The sequence below is a fragment of the Homo sapiens genome, chromosome X (assembly GCF_000001405.40).
Source record: "Homo sapiens chromosome X, GRCh38.p14 Primary Assembly".
Taxonomy (NCBI): Eukaryota; Metazoa; Chordata; class Mammalia; order Primates; family Hominidae; genus Homo; species Homo sapiens.
The window spans coordinates 50,431,848-50,458,624 of NC_000023.11; the positions used below are offsets into that span (position 1 = coordinate 50,431,848).

General features: G+C 39.0%; 1 protein-coding gene across 1 annotated transcript in view, besides 1 other annotated feature; it reads right to left on the reverse strand.

The window, feature by feature from the left end:
• DGKK (diacylglycerol kinase kappa) overlaps positions 1-26,777 on the reverse strand; it is a 105,417-nt gene that overhangs the window by 66,439 nt on the left and 12,201 nt on the right. The gene's annotated exons all lie outside the window — the stretch shown is intronic.
• Positions 18,584-18,878: a silencer, noted in NCBI's record as "tiled region #2913; K562 Repressive non-DNase unmatched - State 24:Quies". NCBI's record gives its function as "represses a minimal TATA promoter and a strong SV40 promoter by Sharpr-MPRA in K562 cells {active_cell/tissue: K562}" and the evidence as "EXISTENCE:reporter gene assay evidence [ECO:0000049][PMID:27701403]".

The window sequence follows — 26,777 nt, forward strand, 5'->3', positions numbered from 1 at the left end:
CAGCACTTACTAGCTGTGTGACCTTGGGCAAATCACTTAACCTCTCTGAGCCTCAATTTCCTTGTCTGTTAGATGAGAATACCTTACAGAGCATGTGCCTGCCACTCTGTGAGTCCCTTGTCACTTGTGGATTGTGGAGCCAAGGGCTGCTGCCATCGCTCTGCTCATGCCACTACTGGAATCTTCCCTCCTGGCTGTCTAAGGGCTGCAGCAGCAGGATGAGGAATAGGATGACCAACTGTCCTGGTTTTCCCAGGAGTTTCAGCACTACAATCAGGAGGGTCTTGGGCAAACTGAGACCTCGTGGTCATCCTAACACTGAAAAGCCAGATCTTTCTACCACGCAGGTCTGCAAGGACTGTATCTGCAAATCTCCTCCCACTGCTTCCTGTGCTAAGGAAGAGCTATAGATGAACGTCTGTGTCCCTGTTCTCTATCAGTGAAATAAAAGAAAGTTGATAATGATGCTATACGTATTTATTTTTATGAATAGGCAAAAACTTTAACCAGTTCCTTGCATATCACTAAAAAGGTATTTTACACACGTGAGCAAACATATATACACATATATTCTTTTTTCTTCCTGTAAATCGTAGCATTCTATGTACAATGTTTTGTTTCTTGCTTTCTACACTTAATATACAATGAACCCTTTTAGATGTTGATACATATTAAGTGGTTTCCTTTCTTTTTACAATTGCATAGCATTCTACTAAATGAATGTAATGTGATTTATTTAAACAATTCCCTATTGAAAGACAGTGCTTTCAAATCTTATTTTATTACAAATGACACTGCAAAAACTCTGTATATACATGTCATTTTGCACTGGTCTGAGTACATTGATAAAATAAATATCAAGAGTTGATGACTTTAAAACTAGTCCGCTGGGACCATAAAGCCTAAACACCTATAAGTTTTGGGGGAGCCAAAAACATAGAAACAGGAAACCCAGTGAAAGGAACAATGTAAAGGGAAGCTTAGCCTTTAAGCCTGTGTCTTCTCAAATATCTCTGCCCCTCCCCCCTTCTTCTTTTCTATTACTGGAATTCCTAGGGAGGGTAAGGATCACTAATTGTTTGGGGTATGGGGAGGAGGTGAGCAATCTGAGCCCAGGCTGACAAAGTTCTGAAAGTGGTAACCTGGCCCTTGGTAATTGACCTGGGACTAGCTGCATCCAGGAAGGAGGAAGAGCTCTGCTGAGCCCGCCCAGAACTACTTATAGGTTTGAATGCTGGCTTTGCTGCCTACTAGCTGTGCAGCCTTGAACAAGCCATTTCACTGCGACAAGGGGCCTACTGTTAAGTTGGTAGGATGGAGATACAAGCTCTGGTCTATGTTAGTTCAAAGTCTGTGTTCATGCCACAAAACTGGCCTTTTAACTTTCTGAGCTAACCGTGACCTTAGTAATGAGTAATCTTAGATCTCCCTGCCCTGTTAGAGATTATGAAAATAATGCTCCAAGAGGGGCTGTGCTTACTCAAGTCAAATAGCAAATTAGTTGTAGAGCACTGGGCCTCAGGCCACCGTATTTCAGTTGTGTTGGGACTCCTCACCAACCTCCGTAAGGTGAGTGAAGGTGCCCTATAACTGCAGCCATTGAGATTTCACTGTATTGGGAATGCCTCTTGGAATATGTGCACAGTTACAGGGCTCTAGGGGAATGGCATGGAATGGCATGTGAGGAAACCAGCAGGAAAATGGCTTGACTCTAAGAGTAGGATCAAAAGGAAGGGCTGGGTAAGAGCTTTGGGGGTTTGAGGAGAAAAGTGGCTTATGATAAACCTTCCTGCAGAAGGTTGCCTTTGCTCCACAAATCCAGGGAAGACTCAAAGTTCTGAGTAGGGGAAAGAGGATTGTTTCTGACCATTGGAGAGCCAAAAGCCAAGAAACAGGAAATCCAGTGAAAGGAATAGTATAAGTGGAAGCTTCATGGGAGACACCTATGGCTACAGCAGTAGTTGCTGCTTGCCTAGAAAAGAAGCGTTTTGGTCACACAAAGTTCCTCCAAAAAGATACCAGGGTAACTTGGACCCTGGTCCTCAACCTAAGCAAGATCACAGAGGTCAGGACATCAGTTAGCTTATCTGGTGCTGCCATCGCATAAAAAGTGACAAAGCAATGCCTGCTTCCAATTGCCTTCTTTTCCATTCTTTTACCTGACCATAAGCTACCAGAGAAGAAGGTTCTGCTAACATTCCGTGGACGTTTATTCTCTCAGGGACACTTCCCTCACTGCTTCTAACTAACCCTGGGCTCCCACCACCAAGAAACATGCCCTGTTTATCCTAACCATCTACTATGAGAGCTGTGGCTCCTGTTGTGACTCTGGCGATGGCCCTCATTAGAAGCAGCAGGAGTAGCAATTTCTTCTCTAAGTTTCTCTTCAACCCTCCTTCTCCAAAGGAAGAGATTTGTTTCTGGCTGGCAAATGCCTGCTATTTGCCCTTGCTTTACATGCATTATCTTATTTAATGCCCGCAGCCACAGTCCTGTGAGGGAAGTGAAGAAGTTGGGGCTCAGAGAGGTTAAGTGTCTAGTTCTAAGTCGCAGTGAATAGCAGAGCTGGGGTTTGAACCCTGATCTTTTTTACTTTACTGTCTCTCCCCACCCCACTCTCATATCAAATAACTACATGATGACGGTTATCATGATCTGACTTGGGTGTGAGATCTAACTTGGGGATCACTTCAGTTCACTTCTTTTTTCCCCCAGGGGCCACTATTTCACCCAGCAGGAAAAGCCATGGACCAGTGATATCTGCAGATTTCCCACTAGTTTAGCTGAATTTCTTGAAGGGGACCATGTACTGCAAATGATTTCACAAGAAGGCAGGGAAAAAAAAAAACAGTCCTTTAGAGAGGTACCTGAAATGTCATAATCCTGAATTTTGCATATATACAACTTTGTAACAATATGCTGGACCATGCTTGGGAGCTTCTAAATCTGGAGACTTCAGCCCCCAGAGGTATTTAAAAGTGCTTGCAACCTAAAGCCAAAAAGGAAGCTTGTAAATATGCAAATACAGTTATGCCTCACTTAAAGACAGAGATATATTCTGAGAAACATGTCATTAGGCCATTTCATCATTGTGCTAACAAGAGAGTATGCTTACACAAACCTAGATACCTAGATGGTATTGCCTACTACACACCTAGGCTATATGGCATAAACTATTGCTCTTAGGCTACAAACCTGCACAACCTATTACTGTAATGTAGGCAGTTGTAACACAATGGTATTTGTGTATGTAAACATAGAAAAGGTACAGTAAATATACAATATTATAATCTTATGGGACCACCATAGTATATGAGGTCCATCATCGACTGAGACATTGTTATGCAGCGCATGCCTGTATGTAACTTATTTGGCTACAACTCACTCAAACAGCAAAACAGAGAAACTCAATTTTGGTGATTTCTGTGCTCTGGTTTTTAAAAGTACCCATTTCTTTCCATTCATGGCTTTAAATGCCTCTTAGAAGTGGGGATGGTGAGCCCACATCACCTAAACACGTATACTTGGGAAGTACATGTTTACTCCTGAGCTGGGGAAATTGTTTTATTGCCAAACTGGACCCATGCAGACAGACATCTGAAGGCCTGAATAATACTTAAGAATACATTCACTAAAAAGTCCTCTGGGGAATAAGTGGTTAGATTATAAAGAGGGGATGTGTGGGTTTGGTTTTTACTTTTTCTCAGTTTTATGAAGTGGCATTACCAAGAATCATGAGGAAGGTAGACAGAAATTGATGCTAGACCAGTTGGTTCTGTTTGCTTCTTGCAGCAGTGGTGGTCTAGGGAAGATGAAATTCACTAATTCATTAGGAGTTGTGTATGAGTGGTGGGAAAAGGAGTGTGTGTGTGTATGTGTGTGTGTGTATGAGAGAGAGAGAGAGAGAGATATTCAGAAAGAGAGAGAGAGACTCAGAGAGAGAGAGAGAGAATGCCTCTGTACCACCAGTGGTAGGTGAGAGCAGGAGGAAAGTGTCAGGTAAGGTCACCTCAGGGGTTGGATTGGCTTGGGAGTAGAATGGGTGATGACAGATTGATGGGAGCCCTCACTCAATTCCTAAAGCTGTGGGTAGCCTTGCTGCCTCTGAGCAGAGGATTGTCCCTGGCTGAACACAATTGCCTCACATGGAGTCAGGAGATATGGTAGTTTGACAGTCTATCACACTTGGAGGGAAAAGAGAGGGAAGAGAAGTGACTGCATGAGACACTAGTCTGTCAAAGAAGAAACTATGTTGTGGGCCTTGGTTCCACAGAAATTACTGGCCAGGTAACAAAGCTGAAAAGCTGTACCAATGTGAATGTATTCTTGGTAACAGGAGGCTATCAGGGACAAGCCTCCTGGAGAAATAATAGTGAAATGAAGTGCTAACAGTTGGTGAGTCCTGACTATGTGGGAAGGACTATGCTAATCATGTTACATTGGTTATCTCATTTGATTTTAGCAACTCTGAAAGATAGACGCCATGCTAATCTGAGTCTTGGAGAGATGAAGTAGTTTCCCTAATGCGTTAATAAATGACAGAGCTAAAATCTCTCTTGAGGTTTCACAAGGACATGAATAACTAGTTATCCCTTCAGTGGAAGGAAAAAAGGAAGGTTTAAACCACTGGTCTTATTGGAAATTATATCCTATTCTAAGTCAATCGACAGAAGAAGGCAGATTTGGCAGGAGTTTGGTGGTATGAATCACAGCTTGTTGGTTCAGTTTTGTTTTTGTTTTTAATTTTAAATGCTAAAGTAATTAAAGTAATAATTATTTAATTTACACAGCACTTTGTTGGTTATAAAGATATTGAAGATTCTCACTTGATTCTGAACACAACCCTGAGGGGTAGGCCAGGTAAGTAATGCTATTGGCCTTTTTTTTTTTCAGGTAATAATACCGTGACTCAAAAAAGTGACTTGCCCAAGGTCATTAAGTAGTAAACTTGTTCTGGCCTTCTGACTTCCAGTACAAGGCTCTTTTCACTGTTATCGCCACACTTTATATGTTCTGTGTTGTTTGATATCATTTTGATTAGTAGTCCATATTTCAAAGCCTAGTTTTACCTTTCCTGTTATCCTGCAATAAAACTCTCTGCCATCATCACTGGTAAAGAAGTATGACATAATCAAGTGTGCCAGTGGCAGGCATTCTCTTGGTTAACGAAAGTAATATGACGCTGGACCCAAAGGGAAATTGTCCTCTGACCTGGATAGCTCCTAGTAATAAAAAAATTAACGTGGCCATACAATTACGCACAAAAGCATCACACAAGGATCTTACTGAGAAAGACTGAGAGTGCGGCTCTCAGTATTGCCTCCCCTCCCAGGGAGCAACTTCCCACAGCTTGTTCAGATGTTTTACCCTAGAACCTACTGCTACCTTTTTCACAGTGTTTCACCTCCATTTATTTCCCTGTTGAAACACCATCCAGATCTGCATCCTTTTCCAACTTCTCCCTGCAGGCAAAAACACCATCCAGATCTGCATCCTTTTCCGACTTCTCCCTGCAGGCAAAAACACCATCCAGATCTGCATCCTTTTCCAACTTCTCCCTGCAGGCAAACACCTGGTAAAATTACACTCCTCTCTAGCCAGGCTATGTATAAGGGATTAAGGTTGCTGAATCCTAAATGGCCACTAACTACAGTAATCAAATTCTAACACCTACCAGCCAGGGCTTAGAGCAAGGCTGACTGTTACCATCTGGATTTTGTGCTGCTCAACTCTTGATAGCATATCCAGAAGGGCTGACCATAAAAGTACAAATGCAATAAGAGAGAAAGAGAGAGGGGTGGGAGGGAAGGAAGAGATCAGTGGTATTATAACTCAGTCTGATAGGCCTGGAAAGGGAGGAGGAAGAGGAGTAGGAAATAAATAAGAATAGGATGAGCATGTTGCATTGGAGGGCTAGAGGTGGCAGCAAACACTCATAGACTTGTAGATGACAAGGGATGCTTATTTTCCCATCAATGACACATGGGATTCCCACTGGTCCTGGAAAGATCTCTGAGCCACCATTTCATTGACTCTGAGATTGTGCCCTAATCCATATGTGCTGCTCCCTGTTTAAAATTTCTGGGAAGAGGCAGTAGTGGCTACTGGGAAGAGAAGGGTTATCAGCTGCAATCTGGGGGACAGCCAGTCTTGAATCACACACACACAAAAAAAAAGCAAAACAGTGGGCAAATTTGTCCTGTGGGGGAGAAGAACTGTCTTTTAATTGGAAACAGGGCCTAAACAATAAAGCTTAATAAAGGGAAGGAGCAAGGGAGATGGCAGGGGAGAGTCCAGTTTGAAGCAAACTCACTAACAGCAATGTACACACCCAAAATTGAAACACAAATACCATGACACAGCTACCCTCCTCTTGCCCCTTCCACCCCTCCATGCATATAATTAAAAAGCAATGTTCTAATTAGACTGGCATCTGATATCTACACCTTTTCTGAAATATTGTGCTAGGCCCTTTGTATACATTAGTGCTAACAGTCACAACAATATGTGAGGTAGTTATTATCATCCTCATATTACAGATAAGACACTGAAGCTCAGAATGTTCAACAGACTTCTCCAAGACCACACACAGTTACAAAGAGGGATGACTTTGAACTCAAATTTGTCTGATTCCAAAGCCTAGACACATTTCTACTCATTATATCACACACACTGCCACTCTTTCCTGGAAAGTGGGGAGTGGTTTGAGGTGAGAGAGGGTGAATAGTTTGCAAAACCACGAGACACCTGAATAATACCACTTCACAGAAACATTTGCACACAGGTACAATATGGGCACCAATATGGCACCTGGGAAAGACAGTGGACTTAATGGATTCTGAACTTCATGGAGTTTAGCCACCAGCAGTAACCTGCTGTGTGAGCAAATCCTATCACTTCTCCAAGCTGCCATCTCCTTGCTAGGAACTATGGATAAAGATATGAAAATTTGGCACTTGATTCATCAAGGGAAGCCAAGGCATAACAGAAAAAACAAGCTATTAATATCGCTTAGGTCTGTTGCCATAAAGTAGCCTCCTACTTAATTTAACACTGCGGGGATAGACCCTGGGCCCAGGAATAGAGATTATTTCAAAACTGAGCAGGCCAGGAAGGCAAACCTCAGCATAAAACTCTCTGGGTAAATCACAAATATGTGTCATAGCCAAGTTATATCTGTCAGGCACAGTGCCCAAAGTGCCACAACTTACCCATAATTAGCACTTGATGGATATTTATAAAGTGAAATTGAATTGGGGAAAACACATCTGGAGAGGACAATGAAAAAGGTATTCTCAAATGTTCCTGGATTCATTTTTCTATCAATTGGCTCCTAAAGGCCAGTCACTATTGGAAGAAATACACTGAGGATTCTTATATTAATATATCCAAGCACATATATTTATGCAAAACCAATATAGTACAGCAAAAAGGAGTGTAGATTTGGACTCAGATAAATCCGAATTTGAAACACAGCTTCATCACTTATTAGGTGTGTGTCCTTGGGCAAGTCATTTAACTTAAAAACCTTTGCAATTTTATCTGTAAAAATACACATAATGGCATTCAACTCTCAGTAGGGATCAAGATAATGCATTAAAGTGCCCAGTATAAGGTAGAAACGCAATACATATTTCTTATTTCTTTCTGTGAATATGGTGGCTATATTTTTGACCCCTAAATTAGAACACAAGTCTTGTCAAGTATAAGTGTATATGTGGTTGCAACAGGGTAGTGGGGGCTCAATTTGATATTAGTGTTTTGCCCCAAATTTGGAAGCATAATTTACATATAAATAGTCCAAGCCCAGAAGGACTTTACTACCAGAGGTTAGGGTACTTTTGATTTGTGTGGATTAGTCCATGCAAGCACAGACTCTTTCCTTCCCATGAGTAACAGATCAAAGATCACTGGGAAAAGAAACAAAGACTATAAATAGAAAATCAAATTTATGTCTGTGCAAGAATTTGTGCTTACTGTAGACACTCATAGTGCTAGGACTCATGAGGTCCCCAGAGAAAAAAACAGAACCTATTACATCAGAAGGGCTTCTGATGATAGGTATGAAGACTTAAGGTGTGTTGAAAGAAATGCTCTATTGAAGCCTGGAAGAGAAACCAGTGTTAGAATAAGGGGATGAGAACAGTTAGTATTAGTGAACCCAAGTGTTTGTATCTCTTTAAATTTAGCACATTGACATTTCGAATCTAATGCTCTCGAATGTTTATTATTAAAACATCGAGCCAATTTTTGAAGGCCCCAAAAAAGGGCTGAGTTGAAAATATCCTCTTCTGTTGTATTCCATCAGCCACAGTTATGGGAAACGTAGTTTCAAGAGCTGCTATAATCTGCCATAACTGAGGCATCACCATTCACCTGGTGTCAATGTATTCTAGTCATAGCATAACGTAATTCTGGGCCAATAACCTAAGAGGAAAGCAATAGCTTTTAGAGTCTAACCTTGCAAACCCCAAATTAGTTACATGACATAAAAGTAAATATCACAAGGCCATTTTTCCACGAAACCAACAATGACGAGCAGGGTTTTATCATACCAATGAGTAACATCTATGACTTTACTGGACAGGACCTGGAAGTCTACAATTATATACTACGTAACAGCTTCTGCCATGCACTTAGCCTAAAACAAAAATCCAACCCTTTCTTATTCTATTATACTTTGTCATTCATGTGCTTTGGGCTCTCAAGGAAAGTCTAGATGTAGAGTTATACAGTGACAAATGGCAAATGCATCTTCTTATTTACTGCATGCCTTTGGGAAGCTAAGAGAATTGGAGTGGGTGTCACAGTAAAAAAATCCGTCTCTTTGCTCATGGCTATATGGGATGACTGTATAGTTAACTTGTCCCCTCCAAATGGCTGTTCTTACCTTTCCTAGAAGTTCCTCCTCTTCCATTTACCTTTGATGCAGAGGCAGGAAATGCTAATTCTATTTAGTTCTCGATTCTGTCAGGAGCACTTGAAGATTTGCTATACCAACAAATCTTTTGGAAAACCAAAAGAACTTTTAATGTGGGGAAGTGAGTATAGAGTAGGTGGGCATAGCTTATGCTAATAAACTTTCTCTGCTTATTATAGAGAAATTAGCTATAAGGGAACAACCCATTTGCCTTCAATCCTCATGGCTTCCTGGTGAGCAGAACTTCCACTTTAGTGTTCCTAACTTGATGAGCTTTTTGACTTCTCCAGGTCTTTCTCACCTAGAGACATGGTGAAACTCTTTTCCAGGCTCATGATTCACTGAACTATTTTTACCCAGGAGTAGCAAGTTACATAATGAGAAATAACAGGGAAACATGAACTGAAAACCTCATAAACTTTAAGTAAATATGAAAGGGGACAGTCTCTCTTACCTCAAAATGTATAAAGTGCATACACACACTATCTCCTCATTCAAGGACTCAGAGGTGCCTTGGAATCCCTGTGGTCAATCGTGGTTTACTAATTGATTCCCATATATGAATGTTCTCCAAATAGCATGTTTGGAGGTAAGAGGACATTCTAACTGATGGCCTGAAACTAAGGTGGGTACACGAATATTTGGATGAGAGAAGATAGTTCTGGAATGAGCGAATAGTAGAATCAAAGAGAGAAGCAGTAGTTAAAGGAAAAGCTGTCAGTGAAGGATTTCAGGAAGGCAAAATTCCGTGTATAAAACCTTTTACTGTATGGAAAAAAAGCATCAAGCACACGTTTTCCATGATGCTTAAAATGTTTTATACATTCTGCCTGATTTGTCCTTTCAACGTCCCACAAAGGTAATTGAGGAAGTAAGTTATCATTTTCATAACTCATTGCCTCAGTAGATACACTTAGAGAGTGCTTTCTCTTCCCCAAGTTTAAAATGCAGTAAAATGTCATATTTTCTTAATAGCATCTATTTCTAAGAATGTCAAAGTATGTTACAGACCATATTCATTTTGTATTATTGCCATTTATATGGTTTTTAACAGAATGTGTGTGTAGCTATATATTAGCTTAAGTATAAACCTTTTAATACATTGATATAAATAAATAAAAATGATGTCATCTTATGTCTTCTTCCTGGGCCAAAATGCTTTCAGGGTCTCATTGATACACTTCAACAATGGATCTTGAGAAATTTCATAGATAATATTCCTTGTCCTCTTGTTGAGTTCTGTGTTCTAATGCAACCTACAGCCCCAAAAGAGGCTTCTTGAATCAGAATGCTCAATTAATTTCCTCAAGGTAAATCTCACAAGGCCATTTCTTCACATAACAAACAACCTAGAGCAACTAAGAGCTAAAAAATATGTGAAATGCACATTTTCAAGTCTCATAACAGGCACCCTGCTTAAGTTGGGTACTTTGCTTGAATCCAAGATATAATGCCATCTATTTTCTGAATGGAATATGAAGTCACTCAGGTTTATGTAACTATATTTAAATGAAAGCATAAAACACATTCCAAAAGCCAAATATAAATGTGTTTTGATTAGTCATGCCACAACTGAGAACTGATGATTACAAAATTCTAAACAAACAAACCTATTAAACTTCTTGATTACAGTTTAACAATGGGGCTGTAAAACCCTGGGCTCAGCTGTGTCAAGGTACCCCCTTGACAAATAAGAAGAAGAAACAACACTATTTCAGGACACGGTCACCAAAAAACAAAATGTGTGAAGCTGCTCTTTTTGACCTCTCTCCGTCTCAGGATGATGAGACAGATTATGGGGAGTAGATCTGTGTGGGTTGTGGCCTCAACTCTAAGTGGGACCTTGCAGAGGATTCATGTATGTATTACATTTCTATTGTTGAGTAACAAATTACCACAAACTTAGTGGCTTAAAAAGTAAACCATTTATTATCTCAGTTTCTGTAGGTTAGAGGCTCAGGCACAGCTTAGCTGAGTCCTCTGCTTCAAGGTGTCACCAGACTGTGATCTAGTTATCTTCCAGGGCTATGTTCTCATCAAAAGCTTGGCTGTGGAAAGGTATGCTCCCAATCTCCCTTAGGTTGCTGGCAGAATTCAATTCCTTATGGTTACAAGATTGAGGTCTCAGTTTTTTGCTGCAGGCCATGCTTAGCTCCTACAGGCCACCCACAGTTCCTTGCTACATGGGCTTCTCCAACATGGCCACTTACTTCATGGCTGCTTATTTCTACAAAGCCAGTGAAAGAGAGTCTGACTAGCTCGTCTACTAGCAACACAGAGTTTATATAGATACATATAGTAACATTATCACAGGAGTAACATCTCATAACTTTTGTCATATTCTGTTGGTTAGAAACAAGTCACAGAAATTCACAGATCCTGCCTACATTCTAGGGGAGGGTATTATACAAAGGGGTGAACACCAGGAGGCAGGGATCATTTGAGGTCACTTTGGGGCTTGTTTGCCACAACACACCAACAATTCTACCCTAGGAAACTTCAAGTCCAGTGGCATAAATCCTCCCATTTCCACTGTGACATCCCTATGCCAGAGAACTAACATCTTTTACAACAGATGCTGTACTTTTAAATATACTGTACTATACTTGAGCACAAAATGACACAGATAGAACCAAAATGTATTTTTAATACATAAAACAAAGAAATTATGTCCTACATATAAAGCAAAATATTTAGCATCCAAAAAATGTTATTACTGGGGTTTAAAAAAACACTATTGCTATTTTTAAAAATAATTATAGACTCACAGGAAAGAAATGTGCAAAGAAATGCAGAGGGAGGTTCTGTGCACCCTTCACCTAGCTCCCCCAATGTTAGCATCTTGTATAACTATAGTATGATAGCAAAAGCAAGAGAATGACATTGGTACAATCCATAGAGCTTATTTAGATTTCACAGTTATACATGCACTCATTTTGTGTGTGTGTGTGTGTGTGTGTGTGTGTGTGTAGCTCTATGCAATTTTATCACATGTGTAGCCTTGGGTAACTATCACCACAATCAAGATACTGAACTGTACCGTAGGCACAAAACTCTCTCCTGCTATCCTTCTATAGCCACATCTACTCCTTCTGCCCCCTCCCATCCCTAATCCCTGGCAACCACAAATCTATTCTCCTTTTCTATAATTTGTTAATTCACAATGATTACATAAATGAAATCATTCAGTCTGTACCCTTTCGAGGTTGGCTTTTTACACTCAGCATAATTCCCTTTGGGTTCATCAAAGTTGTGTTGCTGAGTAGTATTCCATGATAAGAATGTGCCATGGTTTTTATAGCCTATGGGTAGTCTCCAGTATTTGGCTATCATAAATAAAGCTGCTATGAATATTTGTGTGTACATTTCTGCATGAAAATAAGTTCTCATTTCTCTGGAATATATGCCCAAGAGTGTAATTGCTGGGTCATATGGTACATCCATGTTTAATGTTAACAAAAAAACTGGCAAACTATTTTTGAAAGTGACTGTATCATTTTACATTTCCACCAGCAATTTATTTTTTTAACTTTTATTTTAGGTTCAGGGGTACATGTGCAGGTTTGTTATATAAGTAAGCTCATTTCACAGGGGTTTGTTGTACAGACTATTTCGTCACCCAGGTATTAAGCCCAGTACTCAACAGTTACTTTTTTCTGATCCTCTCCCTCCTCTCACCCTCCACCCTCAAGTACGCCCCAATGTTTGTTGTTCCCCTCTTTTTGTCCATGAGTTCTCATCATTTAGCTCCCACTTATAAGTGAGAACATGCAGTATTTGGTTTTCTGTTCCTGCATTAGTTTGTTAAGGATAATGGTCTCCAGCTCCATCCATGTTCCTGCAAAAAACATGATCTCATTCTTTTGTATGGCTGCATAGTATTCCATGGTATGTATGTGCTACATTTTCTTTATCCAATCTGTCATTGATGGGCATTTAGGTTGATTCTATGTCTTTGCTATTGTGAATAGTGCTGCAATGAACATTCACATGCATGTGTCTTTATGGTAGAATGATTTATATTCCTTTGGGTATATACTCAGTAATGGGATTGCTGGGTCAAATGGTAGCTCTGTTCTTAGCTCTTTGAGGAATTGCCACACTGCTTCCCACAATGGTTGAAGTAATTTACACTGCCACCAAAAATGTATAAGTGTTCCCTTTTCTCCACAACCTCACCAACATCTGTAATTTTTTTACTTTTTAATAGCCATTCTGACTGATGTGAGATGGTATCTCGTTGTGGTTTTGATTTGCATTTCTCCAATTATTAGCAATGTTGAGCATTTTTCTCATATGCTTGTAGGTTGCGTGTATGTCTTTTGAAAAGTGTCTGTTCATATCCTTTGCCCACTTTTTTTTTTTTTTTTTTTTTGTAAATCTGTTTAAGCTCCTTGTAGATGCCGGATATTAGACCTTTGTCAGATGCATAGTTTGCAAATATTTTTCCCATTCTGTAGGTTGTCTGTTTACTCTGTTGATAGTTTCTTTTGTTGTGAAGAAGCTCTTAAGTTTAATTAGATCCCGTTTGTCAAATCTTGCTTTTGTTGCAATTGTGTTTGGCGTCTTCATCATGAAATCTTTGCCAAGTTGTATGTCCAGAATGGTATTGCCTAGTTTGTCTTCCAGGGATTTTATAGTTTTGGGTTTTACATTCAAGTCTTTAATCCATCTTGAGTTAATTTTTGTATATGGTGTAAGGAAGGGGTCCAGTTTCAATCTTCTGCATATAACTAGCCAGTTATCCCAGCATCACTTATTTAATAGGAAGTCTTTTCCCTATTGCTTGTTTTTGTCAGCTTTGTAGAAAATCAGATGGTTATAGGTGTGCAACCTTATTCCTAGGCTCTCTATTCTGTTCCGTTGGTCTATGTGTCTGTTTTTGTACCTGTACTGTGCTGTTTTGGTTACTGTAGCCCTTTAGTAAAATTTGAAGTCGAGTAACGTGATGTCTCCAGCTTTGTTCTTTTTACTTAGGATTGCCTTGGCTATTCGGGCTCCTTTTTGGCTCAATATGGATTTTTACATAGTTTTTTCTAGTTCTATGAATAATGTCATTGGTACTTTGATAGGAACAGTGTTGAATCTCTAAATTTCTTTGGGCAGTGTGGTCATTTTAATGATATTGATTCTTCCCATCCATGAGCATGGGATGTTTTTCCATGTGTTTGTGTCATCTCTGATTTCTTTGACAAGTGTGTTGTAATTGTCCTTGTAAAGGTTTTTCACCTCCTTGGTTAGCTGTATTCTTAGGTATTTTATTCCTTTTATGGCAATGGTGAATGGAATTGCGTTCCTGATTTGGCTCTTGGCTTGGCTGTTGTTGGTGTATAGGAATGCTAGTGGTTTTTCTAGATTGATTTTGTATCTTGAGAGTTTGCTGAAGTTGTTTATCAGCTGAAGGAGTTTTGGGGCCAAGACTATGGGGTTTTCTAGATATAGAATCATGTTGTCTGCAAACAGGATGGTCTGACTTCCTCTCTTCCTATTTGGATGTCCTTTATTTCTTTCTCTTGCCTGATTGCTCTGGCCAGGACTTCCAGTACTATGTTGAATAGGAGTTCCACCAACAATTTATAAGTGATACAGTTCCTCTACATCCTCTGTAGCATTTGGTGTTGTCATTACTTTTTTATTTTGGCCATTCTAATAGGTGTATGGTGACATCTCATTGTGGTCTTAATTTGTATTTCTCTAATGGCTAATGATGTGGAACATCTTTGCATTTTTTGCTTATTTGCTATTGTATATCTTCTTGGATGAAATGTCTCTGTGTGCCTTTTGTCTCTTTTTTAATTAGATTTTTTGTTTTTTAAATGTTGAGTTTTTAGAGTTATTTATAGAGTCCAGATACAAGTCCTTTGTTGGATATGTGACTTGAAAATATTTTCTCCTAATCTGCAATTTGTCTTTTTATCCTCTTAAGAAGTTCTTTTACAGAGTAAAAGTTGTAAATTTTGATGAGGTATAATTGATCAATTCTTACTGTTCTGGCTCATGCTTTTGATAGCATATTGTTATATATTGCCTTTGGAGAAACGTTCTTCATGAAATTCTTTCTGCTGTCTTTCATGCTTTTGGAGGCTTTTACATTTATGTGCATACATGTGTGTATATGTATATGTGCATGTGTACGTGCATGCATGTGTGCATGTGCATGTACGCTGACTGGTCTAACTAGAAAAGCTTGAGCTTATTGCTCATGCATAAATGCTAATGCATATGTACTACGATGGAATTCATAGAACCATAGCTCCTAGAGCTGAATATAATACTGTAAAAGATATTATCTAGTGAGGGTTTATTTACCATGCCTGATGTGCATGGGGAGGAAATAGCTCATAAAATTACAATTCCTCTTCAAATTATACTGCTCCATTTATAAAAATTAAATAGGGAAGCATGACTATTGTGTGTGTATATATATAATATATATATATTTATATTTATATAAATCTGTCTTGATTTATATAAATGTCTTGAAAAGTATGTGGTCATACATAAGTCAAAAATCTAAAATTCGTTAATGTCTACGAGAAGTAGTATGTGTGTGTGTATGTATATATATATATATATTATATATATATATAATATATATATATTATATATATATATAATATATATATATTATATATATATATAATATATATATATATATATTATATATATATTTCACAGAAGTTGAGATCCAAGGCCACTGTACAACAAATGCATGACACACCTACTTAATAAGGAACCAACATGAATCAAAATTCAGTAAACTGGAACTCACTGCAGAGCACTGGTTTTAGGTGTTTCATACAAAGACAATCAGATTCTATGAGCTTACATTGTCAAACACTGACTAGTTATCATTATCCGCCAACTCTCAAAACCCAACTTGGCTTAAGGTAGGGCTAGATTTCTGACACTTTCCCTTGGGTTGTACCAATATTTAACCAATTTCTGTTATTTGCAGGATAATCCTTTGTGTTCAGGGCAGAGTCCAAGTGACTTGCTTGGATTTCCAGTGAGAAATTCTCTTGGGAAGGAGGGGGAGCAGTAACTCAGATCTTCTGTATTCTTTTCGGAAATCTTTCAGGACATAAATGTTGCTTTTCAATTATTTTTTTTAAAAAAGGAGCGACTTAAAGGTGACATAAAAATAGCAAGTACTGAACAAACTACCCCCACCCCAGTCAACCTCCAGATAAATGTGGTGGACAGTTTATTTGGGACCCTTAAGCAAAAACATCTGTAAAGATCCTTTGACCCTTTGTTAAATGTAAAATAAATGGATCTCCAGCCACCTGGACAACTCAAATGCAAGAGCTATTTGTGTGGTATTTCTAAACATCGAAAGAGAAATTAGGCATCTGGCAGAGGTTACATCCATTTTTTGGGTGGGAATACTTTTAACCTTTTATTAAAGCTCCTTTCTCTTTTTTTTTTCCATCTCATACCCAGTACTTCCATCTTGCAGGCTCTGGCCCCAATACCATTTCCTGGATCCCAAATGGCTGATCTGAAATAGGGCTATTTGATCTTCTGGGAGCTCCCCAGATAGTTCTGATTTATTTATTTATTCATTCATTTTTTGTGATCAGCCCAGTCTGCTTAGGGACATCTGGGGGTGGGAAGTGCTTTCTAAACAAATTACTCTATTAATTATCCGAGAATGCCCCTCACAGGACTTGACTAAAAGACATAATGCTAGACTCCTACACAGAAACACTAACTCATACTAGTAGGAAGAGAAACACACATACATCAGCAGGGGCAAATCCATATGAGTGTGCATAAGTATACACACAGCCACAAATGGACTCAATAATGCATGGAGGGCGTGAGGTAGGGAGTGGTGAGCTTCAAAATAGATTCTCTTGTTCTTCCGAGAGTCTGTAAAGTCTGCATAGCTATCAGGAGCTCACAATGAGCACTGGATGACCAGTATCCCTTAATAGTGGTGACTCAGAAGATCAGATGCCTACTATGAGTCACAGTTGAAGGTGTCCCAACAGTGAACCAGGTTAAGGGCTTCTATCTGCTTTCTGACCTAGAACTCCCCCTGCAGGATGCCCTAGGAATAATGGTCTTCATTGCCCCAGAGGGACTGCAGGAACCTGTGAAGCAGGGAGGAATGGGGAAGTGCCTCTGTATTCACCCTGATAAAATAATTGCCAGGATATTAGAATGAATTGAGTGGCATCTTTTCCTGTGGTGAGTATTGGGGCCTTTTATCCCAGAGCAGGGGCAGGGTAAAGTAGAAGTCATTGTTGTCAGCTTACAGCCTCAACAGCCTGCCCACACTAGCTTGCACACATCAGTTTCCTTCTTTGTTGAGATCACCACTACATTGCAGGAAGATCAAGCTCTGGAATGACAGTTGTATGCTAAACCACATGGTGACACCCCAAAGCAAGAACCATGTGCCCTTTAGGGTGGCAGCCCAGGGAGTAGTCAGAGGGGAGATAGCGGAAGTAACAGCATTTGAGATATTACCCATTTGGAGCCTCATCTCCTCCCTCACTCCTCCTGTTTTTCCCCTCCTTAAGTGGAACCTGGGAAAGATCCACCCAAAGGTGATGAAATATTCAAATACCTCATCAATAGCCATCCCACAGAGGAAGTGTCTGCTGTAGTAGAAGCCTTGGTTGAAACATCTAAGACAACGTTCAATGGTATTGGGACTAGAAGACACTGAGGAGAGACAAGGCGGACTAATTTATTGTTTATTTTTCCTCCCTCTGCGCAGAGATAGAAGCCACATGCCAGAGAACAGAAACCCTAAGCTGCCTCTGAGGAAATAATGTAATGGGTCATACAAAGACTCTAGTGATCAGCCTCCCTAGAGAGAAAAGGCAATGATGAAGCACAGTGGCTTCAAGAGCTGAGCCGGCTCACAACCACTCCTGTGCTACTGTTTACACCACTAGTACCACGACCTTGCTCAGACACGCATGGGGTATAGAGGGCCCCAATAGCACCTACGACTGAGTTGAAGCTTTCTTGACTGACTTCTCCAGCTACAGTACTTTAACTTTTCCCACGAAAGTCCCCCTGGCAACTGAGAGTCAATCCCTCGAATTGACTTTAGCCTAGAAAGGATGACTAACTGTATGTGGCGTTTTTTAAATATTTTCTTTCTTCTAAATCATAGAAAATGTGTAGATTAGCCTTCTGCGAGATGGACTTGAGAAACAAGGCACACATTGTTGTCCTTTATGCTGAAATGTAGTACAGGTGAGAGTGATGACTAGTCATGTATACACATGGCTGCAAATAATTGTGGTCACTATCTTCCATGCTCTACACACAAACCCTATCCTTGAGGCCAGCCTTATCCACTACTCACACTAGATATTTTTCATACTTTTGCAACTAAGATTCATATTTGGCTCCATATGCAAAAAGACATTCTGTTTCTGAGAGTTCCTGACTAGAACGGTCTGCACATACATTCTCATTTGCTGGAAGTCCAAGGCCAAGCCATGCTGTATTTCAGTGTGTTCCAGAAAGCTTTTCTTCATCCTCTAGGCTTCTGATTACTTGACCACATCATACACTGGCTGTTTAGTTTCCAACTGCCATTTATAAAACACAGAGCACCAACTCAGATGAGTGGAACTGTGATGGGAACTTGGATGTTGCTGCCCTGCCTTTTTTATCTGGCTGACCTTGTTCCGTTGGTGGGCTTCAAGTGGCAGCTTTCCACTGTATACAGAACTTGATCCTGTTGCAGGATGACACATAAGCTAGGTTTGCCTCACACTTCCCAGAAGGTCAGTGCTGTCTCTTCACAACCATTTATAATCATTTGTCTGTCTTCTAAGGTGTATGCTTAGCAAACACAGCCATTTGACCACAGCAGTGTATACATGACTATCCCTGGCATTCATGTTATTTTTAGACTACTGAGTCAAAGTTCTTCCCAGAGGACAAGAGGCATGCTCTGCCATGAGCCTCCTCTATGAAATCTCAAGGCTACTTGAGACCATGGATTAAATACCTAAATCTGTCTTCATTTCACCTAGAGATGGAGAGTTGACTATAGAAGATATCATCAACTGTGAGGAGCCTTAGGATCTTGGAGACCTTGTCAGGGTAGCCAAACTTGATATCAGAGCTCAGGTCTCTTAATAGTAGCAGATGTTGCAATGTCAATGCATAAACAGAATAGCCTTGTTCCCTCCAATTCGTCTTATGGATATAAATCCATGCATCAGAAATTGTGTCTGCCATGTTTGTTATGCTGCAATCTCAAGTTACAAGGCCATCCTAGGAAAATATAGTTGTCAGTGTTCTCAGATTCAGAACAACTCTAATCAAGAGGGGTGGCAGGGAGGAAGGCAACACAAAATAGTTTTCTTCTCTAAGTGAAAAAATAAAAAAATGGGGCTTTGAAATTTAATGGCACTTCTCTAGTCCTCTATGAATGGGAAAAAAACTCTATGTAGATATTGAATTAATGCCTCTATCTACTTGAAAAATCTACCTAGGAGAGACTCCAAGTGAAAAGAGCTTCTTTCAGGACTTAAGTTTCTCCAGCAATTTCTTCAGCAGTTGGAATAAAGTTAATACAAAACTTTGTGAACTCTCATACATTGATCATGAAAGGTCACCATTCTTTGCTGAAGGAAGTTCATCATTTTCCAGAATGATGAAAGTTCATCGTCATCCTCAATGATTGAAGGCAGGTCACCCAAGTGTTACTAATATTCTTGCTAGAGACAAGTGTAAATGAAATTGATGCCAATTCTATGCACACTGGAAATTATATATTTATATACAATTTATATGTAGAATATATATATGAGATAGTGATTAGTCAGATATTGTTAGCTCAGATGTCGGGAAAGATTAAAATAATCATTGACTGAAAACTCAGGAAATCCTACAATTACTAATATCAATGAAGTATCTACCACTTTTCTATGAAAAATTATGGCAACAGGCAAGAACTTACTATGAAAAAAGTCAGAGAGGTACATGCTAAGTACTCAGAAATACTTGTTGAATTGAATTGTGGATCTTTCTCTTAACATTCCCCTTTAACCAGAAGAGAAGGAAACAGCAGTAATTAAAGGGGATATATGACTCTGATGTTAAGATGCATTGTTAAGATAGCCATCCTTGTTGTTCTGACTTTTTCCTTATTCTGCATAGGGCACTCATCCTTTTGAAAGGAAAACGGACCAGAGGTCATGAGCAAGTATAGCATTTGCTTGAAACAAAATCAGTGTTCTCCACATTGTAGGGGCTACCATAGTTTTAAAGAATCAGTTAGGCACAAGGCACTGAACTAAGAACTTGATATGTCATTTGATCCTTAGAAAAACCTTACAAGGTGGGAATTATTAGACTGATATCATAAATAAGGAAAATGAGACGCAGAAAGGTGAGTGAGGGTCTTTGCCCAAGGTCACAGAGCTAGGAAATGACAGAGCTGGGATTGCAACCCAAATGCGTCTGACTCTGAAGCCCGCTATATTGCACTGCAACTCTCTCATTTACCCTCACACCGTACTTTCTGTAGGTAGAAGCAAATCTTAACTCCATTTTATAGACAAGGACATTAAGGCATAGGACAGAGAAGTATTATTCCAAAGAGTCTAAAACATTTCTTCTTTCATATAATCTAGGCTCCAAAGCGGGGAAGTGAAGTAAAGAAATCGCCTTCTTCACTAGGCTTCTACCTTAGAAAAATCTCTACCCAGCAATCAGTCTTAGTGACATAATGCTCAACAAGAGGCAGTGTACAAAATAATCCAACTTGCTGTGACAACACCACATTGTGGCAGAGATGGAAGCACAGCACAGTCCTGAGATGCACTTGTTAAAAAACAGTAGTAAGCAGGCAGAAATCTGGGCTCTAACCCTGTCCCCATGCTCTTTACTGTTTTTTAGTGAATGAATTCCACCATGTATTGGTGTCACATTCATTTTAAAGCTATGCAAAGTGCTTTACAGAATTCATAAGGCTTTAAAATACCTTTGAGCCTAGAATTTTAAAGTGCTTCCCAGATATTCTATGGTGGGAAATATGCTTGTTTGCAAATGGATAAATAAGAAGTGAGAGGTTAAAAGATTTATCTCAAATCACAAAGGCACAGCTAGGAATAGAGTCAGCCTGTTAAATCTCAATTCTGGGCCCAAAGCACTAGACTGGTGTGTTTTTAATCTCTTAGGAATTGTAGAACCTTTTGAGAATTCTGATCTCAGGAAGTCTCAAACAGTTTAAATGATGAATCATCATTATAAGCATTTTAAAAGTTTTAAGCCTTTTAAAAAATCAATCATTACAACCACCTTAAAATGGTATCTCATCTTAAGTCTGGATTTGTTTAGCCCTAAAGAAAGTAATTAGTCCTAAAAGGCAGGCAAGTGGCCCCCATTATCCCACTTTGTTTAGAGGAACCTAGATCATTTCTAGGCTCAAAGAGGCTGCTTTGAAAACCTTGTATTAATTATCTTGAGGTGGACTAGGAAGTGGTTTTGTAGTCTGGAGCCTTGGGCCTCAGTCTTGACTCTGATCTTCAGTTAAGTTTCCTTTAGCTTTGGTTTTCTCATCTGCACAATGGGAATTAAATGAATATCGCTAATTACAGAGGATTGGGGTGAGAATACAAGGACATAGGACATGGGAAATGCATGTGTATAAGGCATTAGAGTATGATACAAAAATCAAGGGGTAGTTTAGAAAGACAACTACATTTTTTGGCTATAACATGCCTGATTGGGAAGGTCTCTGAAGGCTCATTCTGCAATATTATAAGCCTAGAGAGAAAGCCAATTAGAAGTAGTATTCCTTACATGCATGACAAGGCCTTCCAAAAGTATGACAAACAGACATATACAGGAAACAAAACTGAGACTGAAAGATTCTCTTGAATACCAAAGACTGAATATAGATGTTCCTTCATGTAGCAACTGGCCCTGTATAAAATGCATGGGGGAATTAGCTCCCTTCTCAGACATGGACATCTCTGAAAGCCAATCAAGATCTGATGCTCTCATGGCAGAGAAAGATGGTGCATAGAAATGGGCAATCCAGAGGGGAAACGAAAGCATTGCAGACCCTCGGATGGCACCCACAAAGAATCCAGCCAGCCTGAGAAAAGGGTGAGTTGCAGAGTGGAGAGAAAATGAGACATTATCAACATCCTATGCTACCTCCTCTGACCATTTCTTTCTCCTTACTCCACTATTCACTTGTTCTCCCCCAGTTCTCTCACACCTTCAGGCTTAAAAAAAAAAAGAAAGAAAAAGAAAAAAACAGTTTTCCCATCTCTGTTCCTTTGCTCACACCGTTTTGCTTGCCTAGAATTCCCTTCTCATCACTCCTCTCAGCACCTCCACCCAAATAAGAAAAATTCTGGAATGTTCTTTTACTCATCACTGAACCCAAGTCTACCCCATCTTGCTAGGCCCCAATCAATTCTTATCTCCTTTAAATTTGAGTTTCTCTTGTGGCTATATTCATTTTCTATTTGAGATTACAGTTATTTGTATACTTGGTCTTATTTCCTTTACTTGACTATAATTTCCTTCCTTCAGGCAAATTACAGTTATTGGCACAGCGCTCAACACAGAGTAGGTGTTAAATGAATGATTTTAGATTATCATTGCCTGAGGTAAGCAGGCCACCATCATCTCTCACCTTGATTTCTGCAACAGCCCAAGTAACCTTTCTGCATTCTGTATTGTTCCCTTCCAATCTATCCTTTACACTGTCACAATATATATCTTAAAAACAGTACTTTCATTATGTTACTCTCCTACTCAAGAACATTAATTAATATCCTGCTATACATAATAAGGTCCAAATCCCTCTGCCTTTCTCTCAAAGCTCTTTGATATCAGCTGAATAGGGTTCTTGCTGCTTCCAGGTATTTGTGTATGTTGCTTGCTCCCTAGTAGTGGAATGCTTTCTCCTCTCCACAGATCTAAATTCAGTTGATCTCAAGTCCATCAGGAAGCCTTCCCTAACTTGAATTTGGAGCTAGATTGTCAGTAGGACTAATGCAAGCCTCTCTTTTTTTGTGAGGACTGAGAAGCAACAGCTAAGCTCTGATGTTCCTTTGGCAGTTCAAGTTTTATCTAAAATAGTTTTCTACTAATTACAAGAAAAGCCTCCTCCATCCTTTATTTGTCCTCTTTTATAATTCTACAGCATTATTCTCTGTACCACTTTTCCTGTAACAAAATCATATCTTTCCTTATATTGTTATGTACCTGTCTCCAATGTACACGTTTTGTCTTTCAAATGAGATTGCAGAATTTGCATCCATTTTGTTCTTTCCACAAACTGGGGACCTACTAGGTCTTCAGTTCACACTTTCAAACAATTACTGATTTATTCCCTGATTATTCTGTCTGGCCTTCCCTTTGTTTCCTCCACTGTCTGCAGCTGTTTTAAGGAGCTTATTATTCAGTTGATACCTAAAAGATGATGTTGACTTGGTAAGACCAGTTTTCTTTAAGAAAGTCCTCACTTTCCCTCAACATTTTCAGAGCAAATTTTATAATGCTCTGAGTATATTTTAGCTTGCTGTCTTTGGAGATCTTTTAATATCTGTATCTATCTATGTCTCTATTTATCTGTCTATCACTGCTTTGTTGTTCATGTTAATTCAGCAGTTATTAAGTATAGGTACTTAATACTTCACACTATGTGTGAAGAACATTAAAATAGAATTTTTACATACAGAACAATATATTCTCATTATTTTAATAAAAGAGAAGTATTTTCATACTCCTCCTATTAATAACTGGATAAATATTAACCTTCATTACTAGTTTCCCTAAGCGCAATATATTCCAAGGCTTATAAATAAGCAGTTGTGTAATGAGAGAAAAGACACTTGCATTCCATCCAATGGCAACACATTAATAATATTCCCCTCCTTTCAAAGCCATTTGGAGGATTTTCATCAACAAAGAGAGAATAGCCAAAGGAAAAATAGAAGTTATTGAAAAAATTACTCAGGATCAACCCTTTAAAGGAAAATGTTCCTTAAAAAATTACACATTCTTTCTCTCCTGGTTTGCTTCCAATACTTCAACCTCTAATTCAGTATTTTTCCCCTCCCCTTTTCCCTAAACATTATTTGCCCACATTTGTCTACACTCCCTTATTGTCATAATATACCAATTTTGTCAAAGCAAGGCACTTAACTGCCATCTGCTAGAAAATTGCCACAATGAATATATACATCTATGGTGTCTACAATGTGAAAGGTGTCCCATTAGACATGACACCCTCATATAGTGCACAACCTGTACAACTTTATGTGGTCATCTTGCCCTGCAGCTATTCTAGAAAGGGTAGAAGTTTTCCTTCTCATTTAAAAGGAAAAGTTGTTCCTTCTGATTGGAAACAAGGTGCCTGTTGGGGTTTCCTGCTCTCTGATTGGAGACTTCATATTCTCTTCCCTGACCAGACCATTTCAAGGTCAGGGTGCTAATCTGATCAGAGGCATTGGTGAAACAAGTTAAGGCTTTTCCTGTAATTAGTAGAACGCTATTTTAGATAAAACTTGGACTGCCAAAGGAACATCAGAGCTTAGCTGTTGCTTCTCAGTCCTCACAAAAAAGAGAGAGCCTTGGAATAGTCCTACTGACACCTAGCTCCAAATTCAAGTGCCAGGTACAGGAGAAATTTGACACTAAGGTAATGAGTCAAGAGCTTTTCAATTAAAGTGAAAAGCCTACCAGAAATAGATTAAATTCTGATTAACAGTTAAGATTAGTGAAAAGGTTACCAAATGGTACTTAGTTATTTGTTTCAACCTGCTCTCCATATAGTACACTTAAATGCAATAGTCTTTAGTGTTATTATGCTGTATTTAGTGTTATTATGTAGTATTTTAATAAATGTGCATTTTGGATTTTTTTAAGAACTGGGGAGATAAATCATCATTCTCATTTTTATTAAAATTAACTATGTTCATGACTGAAGACTAGTAATTCAAGACCACACAATCAATATGGGCCTCCTCCTAGTACATATGGTGTGTCTGTGTGAGTTAGAAAAATCTATAATCCTCTGGGAAGATATGAGGCAGTCCTGCTTACCACCGCCTACTGGTAATGCAAAGGTTTGCACAGGGTGCTATGGGAACCCTAGGTTCTGGGTGTCTAGCCCGGAGGGGATAGCAGTGAAGGCCTGCTGGATGAGACTGCTGAGCTGAGTTAATGGCACATCACTGGCTTTATTTAAGAGACATAAAAGCTAAGCCACAGAAAGATTAAGCAATTTACCCCATATTGCACCACCATCTAAATTGGAGTCCACCAAAGTGAGGTGACTTCCAATCTAAGAAGAGTCCAAACTCTTCAACTTCTTGCTACAAGTTACCACGGAGCAAAGATTTTTGTGAGAAAATTCCATACTGATATGCCTCACAGACACGAACATTAGCATATTAAAATGCAGGCACACCAAAATAACCCAGTCTTGCAGCATTTTAGGACAGCTCATTAACACCTATACCACAATCCTGGCAACCTTTAGTTCTTCATTTTATAGTTGCTGCAGCTTGCTACAGGAAGATGTATTGCATCAGCTCAAACTTCCTTGGACACCAACTTTAAGAGGCCTGAGTCATTCAAATCATTACCCAAAGTCCTTCGACCATCAAAGGCAGCAAACAAAAGTACCGCTAATTAATAATGTAATTAGGGTTTATTATAACTAGCATACATTTGTTCTAGGTCTGATTCACCCTTGCTTTGAACTGGCTTTGTCCTGTTTTTATCTGTGCTTAATTGTACTGTTTTATGTGCATTTGATTTTGTAAGATACTTCGTATCTTTTCTGGATGCAGGCAGAGTGTAAATTCTAAATAAATAATAAACAACGGATTAAAGTTATGTAGAATTAGCTCTTTTATGTGCTTCATGTACAGTTTATAGTACACTGAGGCCCCTTACAAATTCAATGTGGATGGTACGTTTATGCCTATTTTATAGGACTTGGAACAATTTTGCTGCTTTAAATGATTACAGAGGCTTACAGTTATATACTAGCTTTTACCACATATTTTTAGTTATATCTACAGTTTATTTGGTGTAGTGTTCTTTGTCAGGAACACAATCCCCAAAAATAATAAAGAGCTATAAGCAAAGACAGTGTGCATTATGACAACCCACTTTATGAGATAGTTTTAACACATTCCAGGTTAGGAGGAGGGAAGAAAGAAACTTGAGAGAACGGCCATGTTTCCGAGAAAGTATGATCTACCTTCTGGAATATTACAGGCCAAAATTTAAACCCTGACTTGTTTCTTTCTTTCTTTTTCTTTTTCTTTTTGGTCCCATGTGCTCCTGCATCACCAGCCTCCTTGCTAAGGAGCTAGTAATAAACAGGGAGCGCAAACACACTCTCCTCTTAGCCTAAAATAAGCAATTGGGAAGCTAAGTTATTTACAAACCCATTTTAGCATAGAAGAGGAGTGATAAAATACTGCATGTTTTATGTTAAGTGTCTGGCTTTCATTTATTATTTCATTGAGAAAAACATGAGATTCTACTGCTAAAAAGGTTTTAAAACCACTGGACTACCTGACCCCCAAAGGCTCTTTCCAGGACATTCTATGGGTCTATAATACTGAAGATAAAAGGCTTCACTGGATTTTCATCATGGTTTCTTATTTCCACTATAGAAAACACTGAAATGAAATAGGAAAAAATGTCATAGAGAAAGCAGATGAGACTTTTGTAACCATGTAATGTGGATAAAAGAGGGCCTGAAACAGCAGGAAAAGGATACTAGATAATATATTTATTTTCTCCCGTTTTAGCTTTTGTAGTTTAAATTGGAATTTAGCATACAAATAAATTGAAAGCTGGATAGTTTTTAATTATATGCCCCATC